The 18,260-nt window shown below is 35.0% G+C and overlaps 1 long non-coding RNA gene across 1 annotated transcript in view; it reads right to left on the reverse strand.

The window, feature by feature from the left end:
• Nucleotides 1–6,741: 6,741 nt before the first annotated feature.
• The window catches only part of HRAT17 (heart tissue-associated transcript 17), a 41,009-nt gene continuing 29,490 nt past the window's right edge, over nucleotides 6,742–18,260 (reverse strand). Inside the window, exons 5-6 of the long non-coding RNA NR_110162.1 lie at nucleotides 8,629–8,809; nucleotides 6,742–6,875 (exon numbers count right to left, since the gene is read on the reverse strand). This is a non-coding gene — a long non-coding RNA (heart tissue-associated transcript 17). The remainder of the gene's footprint in view (nucleotides 6,876–8,628; nucleotides 8,810–18,260) is intronic.

The raw sequence follows: 18,260 nt of genomic DNA on the forward strand, positions 1-18,260 counted from the left end.
TCTATAATTTTGGAGTTTTGAACCATATGAATACTATCTACATTTTTAAACTATGCATTTTTATTTTATCTCTTTTTAAAATTTCAATAGCTTTTGGTGAACAGGTGGTTTTTGGTTACAGTGATAAACTCTTTAGTGGTGATTTCTGAGATTTTGGTGCACCTGTCACCTGAGCAGTGTACACTGTACCCAATGTGTAGTCTTTTATCTCTCACCCCCCTCCCATCCTTCCCCACAAGTCTCCAAAGCCCATGATATCATTCTTAAGCCTTTGCATTCTCACAGCTTAGCTCCTACTTATAAGTGAGAACATACATTATTTGGTTTTTCATTCCTGAGGGTTACTTCATGTAGAATAATGGCCTCCAGCTCCATCCAAGTTGGTGCAACATACATTATCTCATTTCTTTTTATGACTGAGTGCATATATACCACATTCGATGGTGTATATATACCACATTTTCTTTATCCACTCATTGATTGATGGGCAGGTATGTTGGCTCCATATTTTTGCAATTATGAATTTTGCTGCTATAAACATGCATGTGCAAGTGTCTTTTTCATATTATGGCCATTCTTGCAGAAGTAAGGGGGTATCTCATTGCAATTTTAATTTGCATTTACCTGATAATTAGTGATGTTGAGCATGTTTTCATATATTTGTTGACTGTTTATATATCTTTTTTGAGAATTATTTATTCATGTTCTTTGCCCACGTTTTGATGGGATTATTTATTTCTTTTCTTGCTGATTTGTTTGAGTTCCTTATAGATTCTGGATATTAGTCCTCTCTCAGATTCATGCTTTGTGAATATTTTCTCCTAGTCTGTGGGTTATGTGTTTACTCTGCTGATTCTTTCTTTTGCTGTACAGAAGCTTTTTGGTTTAATTATGTCCCATTTACCTATTTTTGTTTTTGTTGCATTTGCTTTGGGTTCCTGGTCACGAATTCTTTGCCTAAGCCAATGTCTAGAAGGGCTTTTCTGATGTTGTCTTCTAGAATTTTTATGGTTTCAGCCCTTAGATTTAAGTCGTTGATTCATCTTGAGTTGGCTTTTGTATAAGGTAAGAGATGAGGATCCAGTTTCATCATCCTACATGTGGCTTGCCAATTATCCCAGCACCATTTGTTGAATAGGGTGTCCTTTCTCCATTTTATGTTTTTGTTTGCTGTGTCAAAGATCAGTTGGCTATAAGTATTTGGCTTTATTTCTGAGTTCTCTATTCTGTTCCATTGGTCTATGTGCCTATTTTTATACAAGTACCATGCTGTTTTGGTAACAATAACCTTGTAGTATAGTTCGAAGTTGGGTGATGTGATGCCTCCAGATTTGTTCTTTTTGCTTTGTATTGCTTTGGCTATGCAGGTTCCATATGAATTTTAGGATTTTTTTTCTAGTTCTGTGAAGAATGATGATGGTATTTTCATAGGAATTGCATTGAATCTGTAGATTGCTTTGGGCAGTATGGTAATTTTAACAATATTGATTTCCTCCCCCCACCCCAAGCATGAGATGTGTTTTCATTTGTTTGTGTCATCTATGATTTCTTTCAGCAGTTAAACATGATATTTCTAATTTTCCTAGAACTTCTGAAAATTATTCCAAAACCCGTTTCAAAAATTCTTCTTTTATTTAATAAAAATATATTGAGCCATGAGTCAGAAGTCTCAATATGGTTATAATAAGTCAATTTTCCTTGGATTGACCTAAAGAATAAAAAAAGTGTCAAGCAAAATTCTGGCAATTTTTTTTTTTTGGTAGAAATTGATAAGCTGGGACAGGCATGGTGGCTTATGCCTGTAATCCTGGCACTTTGCGAGGTGGACGTGGGAGGATTGCTTGAGCCCAGGAGTCTGAGACCAGCCTGGGCAACATGGCAAAGCCCTGTCTCTACAAAAACTACAAAAATTAGTTGGGCATGGTGGTGTGTGCCTATAGTCCCAGCTATTCGGGAGGCTGAGGTGGGAGGATCACCTGAGCCCAGGAGGTTGAGGCTGTGGTGAGCCGTGATCATTGGCACTGCATTCCAGCCTGGGTGACAGAGTGAGGCTCTCTCTCAAAAAACAAACAAACAAAAAGAGATAAGCTGATTCTAAAGTTCATATGGAAAAACAAAGAAACTAGAAGATCTGAAACAATTTTGAAAACACAGAAGAAAGTTGAATATTTTAAGAGTAGTATATAACCACAGTAATCAAGACAGTGTGGTATTGGCATAAATAACAGATAGATCAATGGAACAGGAGACAGAGTTCAGAAACAGACCCACTTGTGTATAAATAACTGAATTTTCCACAAAGACGCAAAAGCAATTCGGTGGAGAAAGAGTCATATTTTCAACAAATAATGCTGAAACAATCGGACATCCATATACAAAAAAACCCTTCAAATTAACTCAAAATGGAACACAGACCTAAATATAAAACCTAAAACTATAAAACTTCTAGAAGAAAATATAGGAGAAAATCTTTATGACCTTCAGTCAGGCAATTTTTTTTTTTTAGGGTTGACTCAAAATACAATCCATATAAAACTGATAACTTGGACTTCAGCAAAATCATAAACTTCTGCTCTTTGAAAGACACTGTTAAAGGACTGAAAAGATAAGCCACTGAATGGGAGAAAATATTTGAAATCGTATGTCTCATAAAGGACTAATATCCAGAATATACAAAGAGCTCTTAAAGCTAACTAATAAGAAAACAACCAACTCCCTTCCTATACCAAATGGGAAAAAGACATGAAGACACTTCACTAAAAATGATGAACAGATGGCAAAAAAAAAAAATGTATGAATGCTAAACATCATTAAACATTAGGGAAAAACAAAACCACAATGAGATACCACTGTATACCTATGAGAGTGGCTAAAATTCAAAAGACTGACCATACCAACAGTGAGAGGAAGGGAGAATGCTATACAATGCAGATAAAAATGTTAAATAGTAGAATCACTTTGGAGAACAGTTTGGCAGTCTGTTAAAAAGTCAAACATACACCTACTGTATGATCCAGCCATCCTACTCTGAAGTGTCACCCCAGAAAAATGAAAGTATGTCTATATAAAGACTTATGTACCCATCATCACAGTAGCTTAATCTGTAAAAGCCGAAAACTGGGAACGACTCAAATGTTCATCAACAGATGAATGGATAAACAAACTGTAGTACAGCCATACAATAGAATACTAGTCAACAAAAGGAATAAAAATAAATAAGCTATGGTTTCGCACATGACAAATGAATCTCAAAATAATTAAGCTGAGTGAAAGAAGCCAGGCAGAAAACAATATATACTGTTCGATTTCACTTATATCAAATTCTAGAAACTGCAAACTAATCTATGGTGACAGAAAACAGATCACTGGTTGCATGGGGATGGGGTGCGGGGTGATTGCTGGGCGAGATTACAAAGAAAGCATGAGGAAACTTTTGGGAGTAATGAATATGTTGATTACCTTGATTTTGGTGAGGGCTTTATGAGTCTGTACATGTGTCAAAACTTATTTTGTGTGTCAAAACAATTGTCAAAATGTCAAAACAATTTAAATGTGGGCATTTTATTGTATATTAATATACCTCAATAAATCTATTAAAAATAATTCTGCACTTGTTATATGCCAGACATTCTGCTAGTCATTGCAGCTTCAGTGGCAAAATAATTAAAAAATTGTATTTTTATAAAATTTGTAGTTACTAGTAAGAGGATGCACAGCAATGAAATTTTTATTTACTATGCATAAAATAATGTAAGTAGAAATTTGATACAGGTTCATTATCTTTTTTGCTACCTAAATCAACCAAGTAATCAGTTTATTGTGAAAATAGCAAAGGCTCAGCATACCTGTTAACTGAGAAGATAAGGAAATGAAAGACATAAAATAATTCCTAAATATTAGTCCCTTATCAATACCCATGACTTTAAAATACAAAATGATAGGCAAAGTTTTAAATTCTTAACCTGGTCTAATTCCAAATAATTGATAGTGGTAGGAATTGAAAATATTAATAAGAGTTTTATTTTAAATTAGTTTTAGAAGAATATGTCTTTTAAAGGAAATTTTTCATGAATGTATCAAACCAGTTAAACAGAAGTGATGGTAGACTAGTTGAAGAGAAGTGTAACACATTATTTTGTTTTACTCTTTGGTTTATATTGCATGTTTTGGGAAAAGCATCAGAAAGGAAAGGTCTTTTGTTTGTTATTTAAAAATAATTATCTGCCAAGTTGATTTTAGCCTAGAATAAATTGGCATATGAGTTTTACAAAACAATAGTTAGTAATTAACTTTCCTCAATTAAAAACACACCGTAAGTGACATGGTATTTCTAAGTAGAGAAATTAGGCAAAGAAAAATTATGAGCTAGATAACCCAAAGCAGTATAGCTTATATTGGATATGTTGGGCTCCTACATGGTGATTTTACATTTTTACATGTTTCCTTTTCTTTCTACTTCATTCCAAACCCCGATCCTATCTCACTTCCACCTTTTTAAATACTTGGATCTTGAAAATATTCCTGTCTTCCCTTGTTAAAAGATAAATAACATTAGAAGGGACCCTTTGAACTAAAAAATAATAATAATTAATTAACCAGTCATCATTTGACATGGCATTTAAGGATAAATACTTATGATAAATAGAAGAGAAAACTTAAAGCTAGGAAAGTGAACAATAGTGAAGCAAGAGGCCCTCTTGAATCCTTATCTCACAATTTAAACACACTTTTTTAATGTTCAGGGGTACATGTGCAGGACGTACAGGTTTGTTACATAGGTAAACATGTACTATGGTAGTTTGCTGCACAGATCATCTCATCACTTAGGTATTAAGCCCAGAATCCATTAGCTATTCTTCCTGATGCTCTGCCTCCTCCCCCCAGCACCCTCCAACAGGCCCCAGTGTGTGTTGTGCCCCTATATGTGTCCATATGTTCTCATCATTCAGCTCCCAGTTGTAAGTGAGAATATGTGGTATTTTATTTTCTGTTCCTGTGTTAGTTTGCTGAAGATGATGGCCTTCAGCTTCATTCATGTTCCTGCAAAGGACTTGATTTCATTCCTTTTTATGGCTGAATAGTATTCCATGGTGTATATATACCACATTTTCTTTATCTAGTGTGTTATTGATGGGCATTTGGGTTGATTCCATGTCTTTGCTATTGTGAATAATGCTGCAGTGAACATGCGCATGCATGTATCTTTATAATAGAATGATTTATATTCCTTTGGGTATATATCCAGTAACGTGATTGCTGAGTCAAATGGTATTTCTGCCTCTAGGTCTTTGAGGAAATGCCACACTGTCTCCCACAATGGTTGAACTAATTTACATTCCCACCAACAGTATAACAGTATTCCTTTTTCTCAACAACCTCACCAGCATCTGTTGTTTTTTAACTTTTTATTAATAGCCATTCTGACAGGTATGAGATGGTATCTCGTTGTGGTTTTGATTAGCATTTTTCTAATCATCAGTGATGTTGAGGTTTTTTTTGTATGATTGTTGGCCACATGTATGTCTTTTGAGAAGTATCTTTTCATGTCCTTTGCCCATTTTCTAATGGGTTTGTTTTTTTCTTGTAAATTTATTTAAGTTCCTTGTAGATGCTGGATATTAGACCTTTGTCAGATGAACAGATTGCAAAATTTTTCTCCCTTTCTATAGGTTGTCTGTTCACTCTCATGGTAGCTTCTTTTGCTGTATGGAAGCTCTTTAGTTTAATGAGATCCCATCTGTCAATTTTTGCTTTTGTTGCAGTTGTTTTTGGCGTCTTCGTCATGAAATCTTTGTCCGTGCCTATGTCCTGAATGGCATTGCCTAGGTTTTCTTCTAGGGTTTTCATAGTTTCTAAACCTATGCTTAATTGAGAAAAAAGTCAGTGATTCACTCAAAAATATAGTGATTTAAAATGGTATAAATCATTTATTTGCTCAAAATGCTGAAATTTAGGCAGGATGGCTCAACTACTCTTGGAGGACCCACTTCCAAGATGGTCTCATTCACCCTGCTGACATGTTGATATTGTCTATTTCAACTGGGAGCTCAGGGCCAGTGGCCTCAATTCTCTACAGGACCTCTCCACCTGGATAGGTTGGGCTTCTCAGAGCATGGTTGCCTTAGGGTAGTTAGACTTTTTACATGGTGGCAAACTTCTCACAGAGCACAAAAGAGGATACTTCCAGGCCTTTTTCAGGCCAAGTTGGTCTATTATATCTTGAGCAATTCTAATGGACCTTTGCCTAACTTGCCTCTCCTACCTATCATGCCTTTTCCATGCCTTTTTGCTAATCTACATTCTATACTTTCTCAAAGGTCCAGCACAAAGAACACTTCCTTCATGAAAAATTTCTAATTGTTCCGCCTCTGTGTGATAGCTCTTTCCTTTTGAAATCTGGCAACTCCTATTCTTTGTACTATTCACTTCTCATTGAAAATAAGCTGTCATATTATTATTTACTTTCCTATGGATAGCATATCCTATTTCCTCAACCCACTGTATGATCCTTGAGGACACAACCCAAGGTCCGTATCTACATCAAAGTGTCCATCATGTAATATGTGCTAAATAAGTGTTTGATAGCCAGGTCAGCTGGTTGTATACTGAGGCATTTCAGTTCTTTTTAGGAGATGTTATTCTACATGAAGTGATGTACATCTTGAACTTATACAGATGCTTAAAAAAATCTATTTGAGAAGTTATTTACCTGGACTACCAAAGAAGAATTTAAATTATTCATTGTAGGTATAATGAGTTCATATTATTTATTTTATAACATTTGAAATTTTTTTTTAAATTCATGTTTCTTGGTCTTTTTCAGTGACTCAAAGCAGCAGAAGCTTTTTAGGATGTTCAGCATCAATGAGGTAAGCCTAAAAAATGCAAAGATAAAACTAGTTAGCATGGAAATAATGAGTAGAAATGGTTATTAAGCTAATTGTCTTCAGCTGGAGAGAGAACTAGAGGAACTTTAATAGTATTTCTTTTCTGAACCACATTAGCTCTATCAACATAGCGCTGTGATCAACACATTAACTGATTTTGTCTTCTTCTACTCTATATGTCTACTATTATGACTTGGAGAGTAATAAATGTACCATTATAGTGAAGGAGGAAAATTGATGCTGATAGAAACTTAACAAGGAATGGGTTGGGTCTGTAAATCATTGAATACAACCCAAGAATTGTCTTGGCATACACATGTGTCAGTAACTTCAAAAGTAGTTTCTTTTCAGGACTCTACAGTGATTTCACTTTGAAGAAGTTTCTGAACTTTTAACTCAAGGTAATGAGCCAGTTAATAGGAGAGTGGGTTTTGTAGGAAGCAATTACCCCAGTTGATAGGAAACTTGAGAAAATGAGCACAAGTTGTAATGAGATTGGCAAAAATGTCATGTGTCTGAGAGCTGAGATGGAGTAAAAGGGAAAGATGGTGGGAGACAATACCATGAATACCACTGAAAATAAATACCATGAATACCACTGAAAATAAGGATGAGATATATTATTGGAGCTATGTCTACAGAAGGCTATAGAATTAATTTGCCTGCAGGCAAGATGACTTCTAGAAATGTGGAAGTCAGGAGTCCATGGTTCAATTCGAGCTTTTTAATGATCTAGTTTTAGTCCAAACAATATAGTGATAAAATAAATTTTAACAGAATAAACCATTATCTAGCAGTATATACTTCAGTTGACACCGTTTTGGAAAGAGTAGGTCATAGGCATTGCTTCCACTTCCTTGTCTCTCGGTCTAATTTCAGCCCACTGCAACCTGGTTTTCACCCCCGCAACTCTGCGGAAATTGCTTCGAGAAAGGTCAGCAATGATGTGATTGTCAAATATGTTAGCCTCTTTCAGCTCTCATCCTACTTTTCTTTTCTGCAGAATTTGATTGTTTATCATTTCCTTCTTCTTAAAACTCCTTCTTGGCTTCTAAGATGCAGCTCTTATTCTTCCCATGTGTCTCTGTTTGCTCTTTATCTTTCTTTTAGTACCATCTCTTCTGCTGGAATTTTCTGAGCAAACTACTCTCTTTTCTCACTCTACATGAATTTTCTGAATGATCTTATGTGATCCTGAAGCACCAACTATTACCTATGTATCTCTCAAATACTGATTACTCAACATTCTGAAGCTTTGGATCTGACATTGAATGTACTGTAACTTTTCAGGCTCAAGATTGCCCTCTCCAATCTCGTATTTTCTTTTCTTGTTTTCCTTGTCTCAATTCTCAGCAATCCTATCTATCCTATTGCCCAAGCTAGGAATCTTGAAGTATTCATTTCCTTTACACCTTTCCTCACTACTTATATTCAAATATGGTCCATTCAACCTCTGAAATGTGTTCAGTATCTGCCCATGCCTTTCCATTGCTACTATTACTCTCCCAATACAAAAAATAGTCTCTTATTTTTTGCTTGTAACTTTTCTTAATGGTTTTCTCATTGGGCTTACCTCTTTGAATCTGGTTAATCTCCCTTCCAATCTATTATTCATATTGCTGCTGGAGTTCTCTTTTTTAAATGATGGATTTGAGCATGTTCCTTCCATGCCATGCTTAAAACAAAAACAAAAACAAAAACACCTTCCAATAGCTTCACAGTTTGAGAACTGCCTACCTACCTTCTAACAATATTATCTTCTATGAGATCGACGATTCACAGGAATGGGCCTCCAGAAGCCAGCTGCTGATCCATAGGAATGGGCCCCCAGAAGCCATATTTATTCCAAATGTCTCCTCACTCTTCAGCCATAGTTGATTGAAACAGGAGCGAACACTTGAATGGAGTCAATTATTCTCCCCCTATAAAGACTATAATTATGAGTTATGTAGTTGCCACATTATAATATGTGGAATGGAGAAGAAGGAAACAGACTGGGAAAGAAAAGGATAAATTATTGACAAAGGACTGGCAATATTCTAGCCTCTTCTCAGGTTGTCATTGTATTCCCACTCTTGGATTCTATAGTATACCTGTACCCTTTTATTGAACAGCCCCCTTAAGTTTATTGTTTATTTATTTTTTGTTGTTAAGTTCACCTATGTATACCTCTGTTATTTGCAACTCTACTAAAAATACAAAAATTAGCAAGGCGTGGTGGCAGGCATCTATAATCCCGCTACTTGGGAGGCTGAGGCAAGAGAATCGCTTGAACCCAGGAGGCGGAGGTTGCCGTGAGCCGAGATCATGCCACTGCACTCCAGCCTGGGCGACAGAGCAAGACTCCGTCTCAGGGTGGGGTGGGGTGGGGGGAATAGTAGCCATTCTGACTGGTGTGAGTCGGTGTCACATTCTTTTGAGAACATCCTAATATACTATGCTCCTCTCTTTGACTTCTTAATTGACGGTCCCTCTTTCCCGGAATCATCGATCTTTTTGTCTATACTAGAGCATTCCCATCAATGCACAAATATTCTCTGGTATCTCCTCTTCAGTAATAGTTTCCTCCAGCTCTCATTTCACTTTTCTGCTTCCCTTCAAAACTAAACTTGAAAGAGTTGTCTACTTCAGCTTCTTCAACTGCCTTGCTTCCCATTCACTTTTAAGCCTACTCCTATCTGAATTTTATTTCACTCACTCTACTGAAATTGCTTCAGTTAGGATTACCGATAATCTTCATTTTGCCATATTCAGGGGATTCTTTTCTGCCCTTATCTTAGCTGCTTAGCACCACTGAGCGTATTTGATCACTTCTTCCTTCTTGAAATACTCTAGTTTTTAAGGGAGATTTTTAGATTCTGAGATTCCTCATGCTCTAGGGTTTTTTTTTTCCTCCCTCTCTGGTTACTCCTAGTTGGTTCCTTTTCTATCCAAATTTTAAATGGTGGAGTTGACATATTTTTTCTCATCTATGCAGATATTTCCTCAATCCTTCCATTTGTATAAGCCAGAACTCTGGGGTTCATGTTGATTCTTCGTTCTCTTTCATCCACTCAATCCCTCACCAAGTCCTAACAATTCCTTCCAAATATATTCTGAGCTGCTCACTTTTCCCCTTTGCCACAGTGATTGCAGCAATGTATTGCCTCTATCATCTCTCACCTGGACTTCTGCAAAGGCTTCCTAACTAGTCTACAAGCCTCCACTTTTGTCCACACTTGAGTCTATTCTACATATGGAAAAAGAAATAATCTTTTAAGTACACAAATTGCAACATGCCATTTCTTTGCCTAAAACTATTTAATAGATTCATGTTGTACTTAATAAAATTCAAACTGTTTACCATGGCCTACCAGGCTGTGCATTTTATAACCCCACCTTTTATTCCACTTTCAACTTGTTCTACTTTCTATTTATGTTCCAGCAATTGGATTCTCTCAGGTCCTTGAACATGCCAAGTTCTTTTCTACTTCAACTATTTTGAACATATTTTTTCTTCTGCTAGAAACTCTCTCCCCTTAGCACTTTGCTTTGTTGGCTTCTTTTCATCGTGAATGTCTCCACACAAATGTTTCCTCCCTAGAGAGGTATTTTCTGACCATCCAATATAAAATAGTGCTCTCCACCTGACCAAAATTCTGTTAATACATAACACCATTGTACTCATTTAGGTCATCAAATTCATCAAAAATTTTATTATTTGTTTCCTTATTTATTATCTTTCTCCTTTACTAAACAGTAAGCTGCTTGAGGACAGGTATTATATTTGTCTTGTTTGCCACAGTGTATCCTAGCACATATGTGTATGGCACATAATAAGCACTTAATAAATAAGTGCTAATCAATGGATTAATGGGTGAATGCTTATATGCTAGACTTTCTCTTTGCCACTAATCCATAATAGACTGGGAATTTCCCAAATGCACGTTCACGTCTTTTCACATTTATAAACCTTACTCTAGCATGAAACCTGATCCATAGGAAATTTCAATAAAAACTTAATTTTCAGCTAAAGTTAACACAAATTATCAAACATTTTAATAAAATAACAGCTTGGCATTCCTTCATTCTACATCACCTAAAGGAATTCTGCCATTATGTATAAGACCAAAATGATTCCTTGGCTTTCAAAAACTTGTTTATCATTCATTCATTCATTCATTCATTCATTCATTCATCAAATATTCATTGAGCCTACTATGTGCCAGGCACTGTTTTAAGCTCTGGGGATGTAACAGTAAATAAAATAGAAAAAAAGTCTTTCCTCATAAAGATTCTGCTTTAATTAATAAGGCTCAAGTCCTGGTAAATAGTATTTTATAATGTGGCCAGGTGATTCTATTGTATAGCTAGGGTTGAGAACAGTTGCTTTAGAATCACACACTCCTTATTGTCTTTTTTAAAAATCATGTACCTCTAGTGACAACTTTTTAAAAATCAGAATATAAGTGAGTTAACTTTCAATTTGTCACTATTTTTTTAACTTATAAGATTTTAGGATACAATGAATATGCAATTTAAAATGCTATGTTATAATAATTTACTCTGCTTAGCTGGACCCAGAACCCATTCCAAAGGAGTGGAACAATTTGAATTCTCTCCCACTTATAATGTAAATTTCTGAAGGCAAAAAGAATTTTAACAAGGAACAGAAAATATCTGTAGTTTCCCTTTCCCAAGTAAGCACTATTTTGTAAGACTGGAAAATTTCTTGTTCCTTTTTCTTTTTTTGTATTCACATTGCTTTCTATATTTAGTATTTATGTTTGATCACATGGACAACTATATACAGCAATGATTTTTCATGGAGAGTAATTAAATGCAGTGGGTTCATATTCTCTAATGGTCTTCAGGAATTTAAATTTTATAAGTGAATATATAGTCTGCAGATGCTTTCTGATACCATTTTTAAAATTCAGATAAAATATACATACATGGTGGTGAGTTTCAATAGATGAATACAGCCATGTAAGCATCAATTTAAACAAGATATAGAACATTTTTTAATCATTCCAGGAGGTTACACTATGTCCCTTCCAATCAATCTCTGCTCCCCATATGCAATCAATATTCTGATTGTGTCAGTATAGGGATATTTTGTTTATTGTTGAACTTCTTATAAAAGGAAGGATACAGTGTGCTCCTTTGCATCTGGCTTCTTTCAAACAACATGATGTCTTTCATATTTATTCATGTTGTTGTATAATAGTACATTCTTTTTCTATTGCTGGGTAGTATTCCATTGTATAAACAGATCATAATTAATTATCTAATAACCCGCTAATGAACATTTGAGTTGTTTCTGTTAACATTTGTTTGCAATATTTATGTAGACATATTTTTTTATTTGTTTTTTAATAAATATCTAAGAGTGGAAAAGTTGGGATTTCCTAGGATAGGTATATATTTTACTTTATAAGAAAGTGACAAAACTTGTTTCCAAAGTGGCTTTATCTTTTTTACTCTTCCTAGCCGTGTATGAAAGTTCTGGTTGCTCTACATCCTTGCCAACACTTGGTGTTGCTACCTTTTAAATTGTAGCTATTCTAAGGGTGTGAAATGGTATTTCATGGTGTTTGTAATTTGCACTTCCCTGATGACTAATAAAGTCATAGAATTGTTATTTGGTTCTTTTATATAATTTTGTTTCTCTGCTGAGATTTGCCCATCTGTTCACTCATTTTGATAATCCTTTTCTTTAAGTCATGAACATCTTTATGATTATTTCTTTTAAAGTCCTTGCCTGCTAATTTTAACATCCAGGCCAATTGGAGACCTTTTTCTATTGATTCTTTTTTCTTTTGAATAGGGGTTTTACTCTTTTATTTCTTGGCATGTCTAGTACTTTTTGAGTGCACACTGTGAATGATGCATTATAGAGACTTAGGATTTTTAAATATCTCTCTGAGAAGTGTTAATTTTTATGTGCCCAGTCAGTGAAGTTACTAGCTGATCACCTTGAACTTGTCAAGGCTTGCATTTTATACTTTGTTAGGGAAGGTTTTACCCATAATCTTAGTGTTTAGCTTTGCTCTTAGTCTTAGGATATATAATTCAATGATAGAAAGTAGACTATTATTAGAATCAAAAATTATGATTGTTCTGGTATTTCAATGGAAAGCTCGAGGCATTTACTAAGCCCCTTCAACTGGACTAAAGTTAAACTTCAAAATCCATTTTCTATGATGTAGTCAACAGCTAGATTACTTGCCCAGCTTTTAAAACCTTACTTCCATTGCCGTTCCCTGTCTTCCTTGGACTCTGCCCTAGACATGTGCAGTTTGGGGTTATCCAAAAGTTTAAAACTAGTCTATATCAAGATTTTAAGTCTTGCCTCTCTATGGCACCCTCCTTTGTGGATTTATTTACAAAGTTTCCAATTATCAGCATCCTCAAATTCTGTCCTCTGATACTTAAGCCAATAAAAATGTGGCTTTCTGTTTGTGTTCTAATTGCTCTATGGCCTTAGGGGAAAATATATATAAATATGGATCTTATTGAGTGCCGTTTCTCCTTTCAAGAGTTGAATTCCTTTTCAGTTCCTACCTGCTTTTGATCATTTTATAATGCTTTCAAATAGTTGTGTATGTGTTTGTATTTTTTTCTTGTAATTTGTAATTAATGTTTACAAGAGTTTGTAATTAATGTCTACAAGAGGTTTAGTCTGATACTAGCTACTCTGCTATTCCTGTACTGTTACCATTATTATAAGGAGAAATTTCCCTATATGTGAGCCCATCTTGTAATCCTTCTTTATAACGTAGCAAGAATTATGAAAGGCATAGTCCCAAGAAGGGGGACTGAGCTTACTTAAAGAAGGGAGCAGACCCATTCACATTCTCCTTTCAACATAAATATGCTAAATATATTGTGTTACAATCTTTCTGCATTGTTTTTCTTGGGGGCAAAGCATAAAATTCTTATAATATGATAATACTGAGATGGTCTTGTGAATTAAAAATTAACTTTCTGTGATTATCACAATTAGTAAACATTTTATAACAATTATCATGAAATGCTTGACCTGAAGTAGAAAAGCCAATATTTTGGGGGTATTCCAAAAGATACATGTTATGAATGGAATCGTGTTCTTCCCTTCCCCAAATTCATTTTGTGCTGCCCAATCCCAACGTATTTGGAGAAGAGCCCTTAAAAAAAATCATTAAGGTTAAATAAGGTCACAAGGGTAGAACCCTAATCTCATAGGACTGATGTCCTTATAAGAAGACAAAGAGCAGCACTTTGGGAGGCCGAGGCGGGCGGATCACGAGGTCAGGAGATCGAGACCATCCTGGCTAACACGGTGAAACCCCGTCTCTACTAAAAATACAAAAAATTAGCCGGGCGTGGTAGCGGGCGCCTGTAGTCCCAGCTACTCGGGAGGCTGAGGCAGGAGAATGGCGTGAACCCGGGAGGCGGAGCTTGCAGTGAGCCGAGATCGTGCCACTGCACTCCAGCCTGGGCGACAGAGCGAGACTCCGTCTCAAAAAAAAAAAAAAAAAAAAGAAGACAAAGAGATGCAAGAGCTTTTTCTCTATATATACACATGCACAGTGGAAAGACCATGTTGAGGACATTTTGAGAAGGCAGCCATCTGCAAGCCAAGAAGACAGCCCTCACCAGAAACTGAATTTACTGGCATCCTGATCACAGACTTCTGAGAGAAAATAAATTTTATTGTTTAAACCACCAGTTTGTAGTATTTTCTTATGGCAGCCTGAGCAGACTAATATACCAAGTTTTAAATCTTCTTGATTATTCATTATTAATGACGTTAATTTTTAGGATTTATAACTAATGGCTATTTAAGATTCTTTAACCAGATAATACTATTTTTTTCGTAAGTTTTTCCATCTTCTCCCTTTCCTCTTTGTTTTAAAATCATCTGTATTCACAAATAAGAAGACAGGTAGCCTTAGAATCACATCTAAGAGAACTGATTCTTAAGATTTCTTGAATAACTCTAAAATTTTCTAGAAAAAATAGAAAACCTGACAATGAACTCTCTCAATCATTGCATTTCAATATCTAACATCAAACTTACTTTGGCTTCAGAAAACGTCAAATGTGCCACTCAAGATTATTTTCAGAATAATAATCACTGGAATCCAAACATTACATAAACTAAGGCATCTTTCGTCTTAATTCCTTGTGTTTACTCTTGTCAAGGAGGGTCACTTTTACTTTACAGTTCAGTTCCTATGACTGGATGCCAGTGTTGGTAAGTAAAATAAATACGTCATCACAAGAGTCTATAACCCAATTTTATGATTATATAATGTTATAATACTAATATATGATGTCTTACTTACTCAGAGTTCTACTATATGTTGTAGCATAATACAAATCTGTCAGTTTTTATTCTTTTATAGCCATATGAAGGAAATAGTTGAAAATCCAAGGGGGAGAAGGTGTATTTAAATGTATTGGGGAACAGCAATTTCAAAGAATATCTACTTAATTTCATCTTCCAAATCCTGAATATAGTAAGGCGTTAGGCTTATCACAGTGCCTGTCATATCATGTGTTGTGGTTTTACAATTAAAGAGACTATGACTTCATTATCTGTCGACCTGCTACCAGAGTAGAAAATCTCATGATTACATCTTTATGGGCTTTTTGGAAATGTATGTTTATTCCAAACCTGAGTTCGGGCAGGCAACAGGAAAGGGGAGTGTTGTGGGCTAACAAATTGCTGAATAACATTACCTGATTATGTTACTATGCTATGTTATAGGATAGACATTGAAGTAGCTGCTTTAATTTCCTATAATTAGAACTTAGATGATGTATTTTGGATCTTTGTTGTATGGATAAGGAAATTATGGTTCATAGAAGGTGACCACAGAGATAATTACTCAAAGAATAAAAAAATAAATAAAAATTGACAATGTCTTTCATTCCCCTGTGTCTGAATTCAGTTATAAACATGCCTCTTTGGTAGTCACTTCTCCAAGTGTATCATGTCCCATGCATTTAGAAACACAGATCTTTCTACTTGCAAATCTGGTACTTGAAAAAAAAAAAAAACAAAGAACCACACCATAAGAATAAGAAATGAGAACTACAGAGTGAGAAATGAGAGTGCATTGACAGTGCAGAGTAGGTGGTAAACTACCTTGAGTTTTTAAAAGAAGGGCACTAAAAAGCTCGGTACAAAACATGTTGTCAAAGGAAATGAGAAAATGCCAAGCTAAATTTAAAAAAAGTTAATTGGTAATATTCAACAATATTTAGGCATTTCTAAGACATTATATATTTTAGTTAATTTTGAAAAAAACTTTTAACCCACACCTTTCATGATTGTAACAGATGTTAGATTTTGTCCATAATTTGGTAGATATAAAATCCTTACTTTTTCTGGGTAGCATATCCCATATTATTACCATACTATTTCATGCTATGGAGTCATTTATTCATTTGAATGCAGCACCATTCAGATTCTTTGCCAATTACTAGAAAGCATTAAATGTATATAACTGAAAAATTATCTTGGCTTCAGAGTGAAAGAGCGTACTTTATAATTTCACCTATTTATGAACCTATTTGCCCATCATTTGTTAATTTAACATTGAGGAAAGGACAGGGAAAGAAGTTGACAGTTTTAGGGTTAGAAGCAAAATGAGGAATGAAATGTGAAACACAAAGAATGAAACTTGAAAAGGATGCTTCAGGGGAGCTCAATCAGAGAAAGATTTTAAGGGTTTCTAATTTTATATGATGACTACAAAGAAATAAAAAAGGAATAACACCATCAATTTCACACCTCCCTTAATCTGGGAATATGAAGGACAAAGCATAAAACAGGTATTATTTTTGTTGTTGTTAAAGGTGACAAGGAATTAATGTTGTTCTTTAGGGTATCTGTCTAGATCTAAACAATGGAGTTTGAAATTTCCATATGGATTTTATTTCAATTTCACCATACTCTTAATTGCTGACATGTTGGCTTTTCAAGACTGTTCATGAAAAAAACCTTAGTTAATCAGTTAATTGAAGAAGAAAGTGGTGTGATATCCTTGGGGGAAATGGGCTAGAGTCAGGAAATTTGGGTTCTGGTTTCCCTTTGTCACCGACATGCTAAATAACCCTGAGCAACCTGTTAAACCTCTCTGAGAAACACAATTTTCCTTTAAAATAACTGTACTGAACCAGACTGTCCCTGAGATCTTTCGCATATTTTGTGTTTCTAGTAATTAGAACTGTTTTCACAGGTATCAGGTGATCTGAGGGCACAGTGTAAAATTCATGGCAAGATGAGCAGTTTCATTTCCAGGTGAGAAGAATAAAATAGTCTCACGTAATTTTTCCCAATCAAGGAGTTAATTTGTAATATAGATGATGATGTCTTGTTTGAGGATTAAATAATGTATATTTAATATTCTTAGTCAGAATTTTGTTAAGGGACATAGGGAAGGATATTATGAGACTGAGGAGCTCTAAATATAACTTAAATTGATAATGCCAAAGTGGTATACCAACATAAACTACCTGGGAAGCACACAGAAGATTTAGATTTGCAAAGGCAAGATATTCAAACTTATTTTAACTACTCTTGGAACTATATTATATTTAAAGAATGAACATCTTTTAAAACAGACCTAAATGGATGAAATTCTAAAAGTTAATTAATAAATGATTAGATGATTTAAATTTTTGCATAGGAATTAAAAAGTGGCACATGCCCAAGGAATAAAACTGGTGAGAAAATAAACTTTGTCCAAAAAATGCAACTGTTATTTCAGGTAATGTGGGTATCCTGGCAGTGCTAAATGAAGATAATTGGAATAAAAACAGAAATTTATGTTATGAAGGACTATATTTTGACTGTGAATTCAGGATTTTTTTGCAGTCAACAGATTTTATCATGGCTTTTGGCAGAATGATGAAAGGCCCTAAACAAGTCCTTGGGCGTTGCTCATTGAGAAACCAGCAGAATACTTTCATATTTGCAGAGAAAAGTTGCCAACATGCCAGGCAAAAATGCTCACTGGGGTGGAGAATTGGAAATATGATAGTGATCTCAAATGACACAGGAAAGTTGGGGGGAATAGACAATTCTATAAGCTTAATAAAAAATATAAAGATGCCATAATCAAATCTTAAATTTCTAATGCCAGGTCTATATTTCTGGAGATAAGGTATGATAACCGAGCGGGAGTATACCATGCTGAGATTGCTTCTAAGCTCTCTTCTTGTAGCTACTACCCTTAATACTTGTATTATAAATTTGTTGCACGCTCATCTAAAATAATTTGGTCATTCACAATAACTCATCTTTTTGGGGTTGATATGTGAAGTGACTTCCCATAATTCAAATTTAGGTGAGGGCTGTAGGTTTCCTCCTCCATAACTTCACTATGAGATGATATG

This window comes from Homo sapiens, chromosome 7 (genome assembly GCF_000001405.40).
Source record: "Homo sapiens chromosome 7, GRCh38.p14 Primary Assembly".
Taxonomy (NCBI): Eukaryota; Metazoa; Chordata; class Mammalia; order Primates; family Hominidae; genus Homo; species Homo sapiens.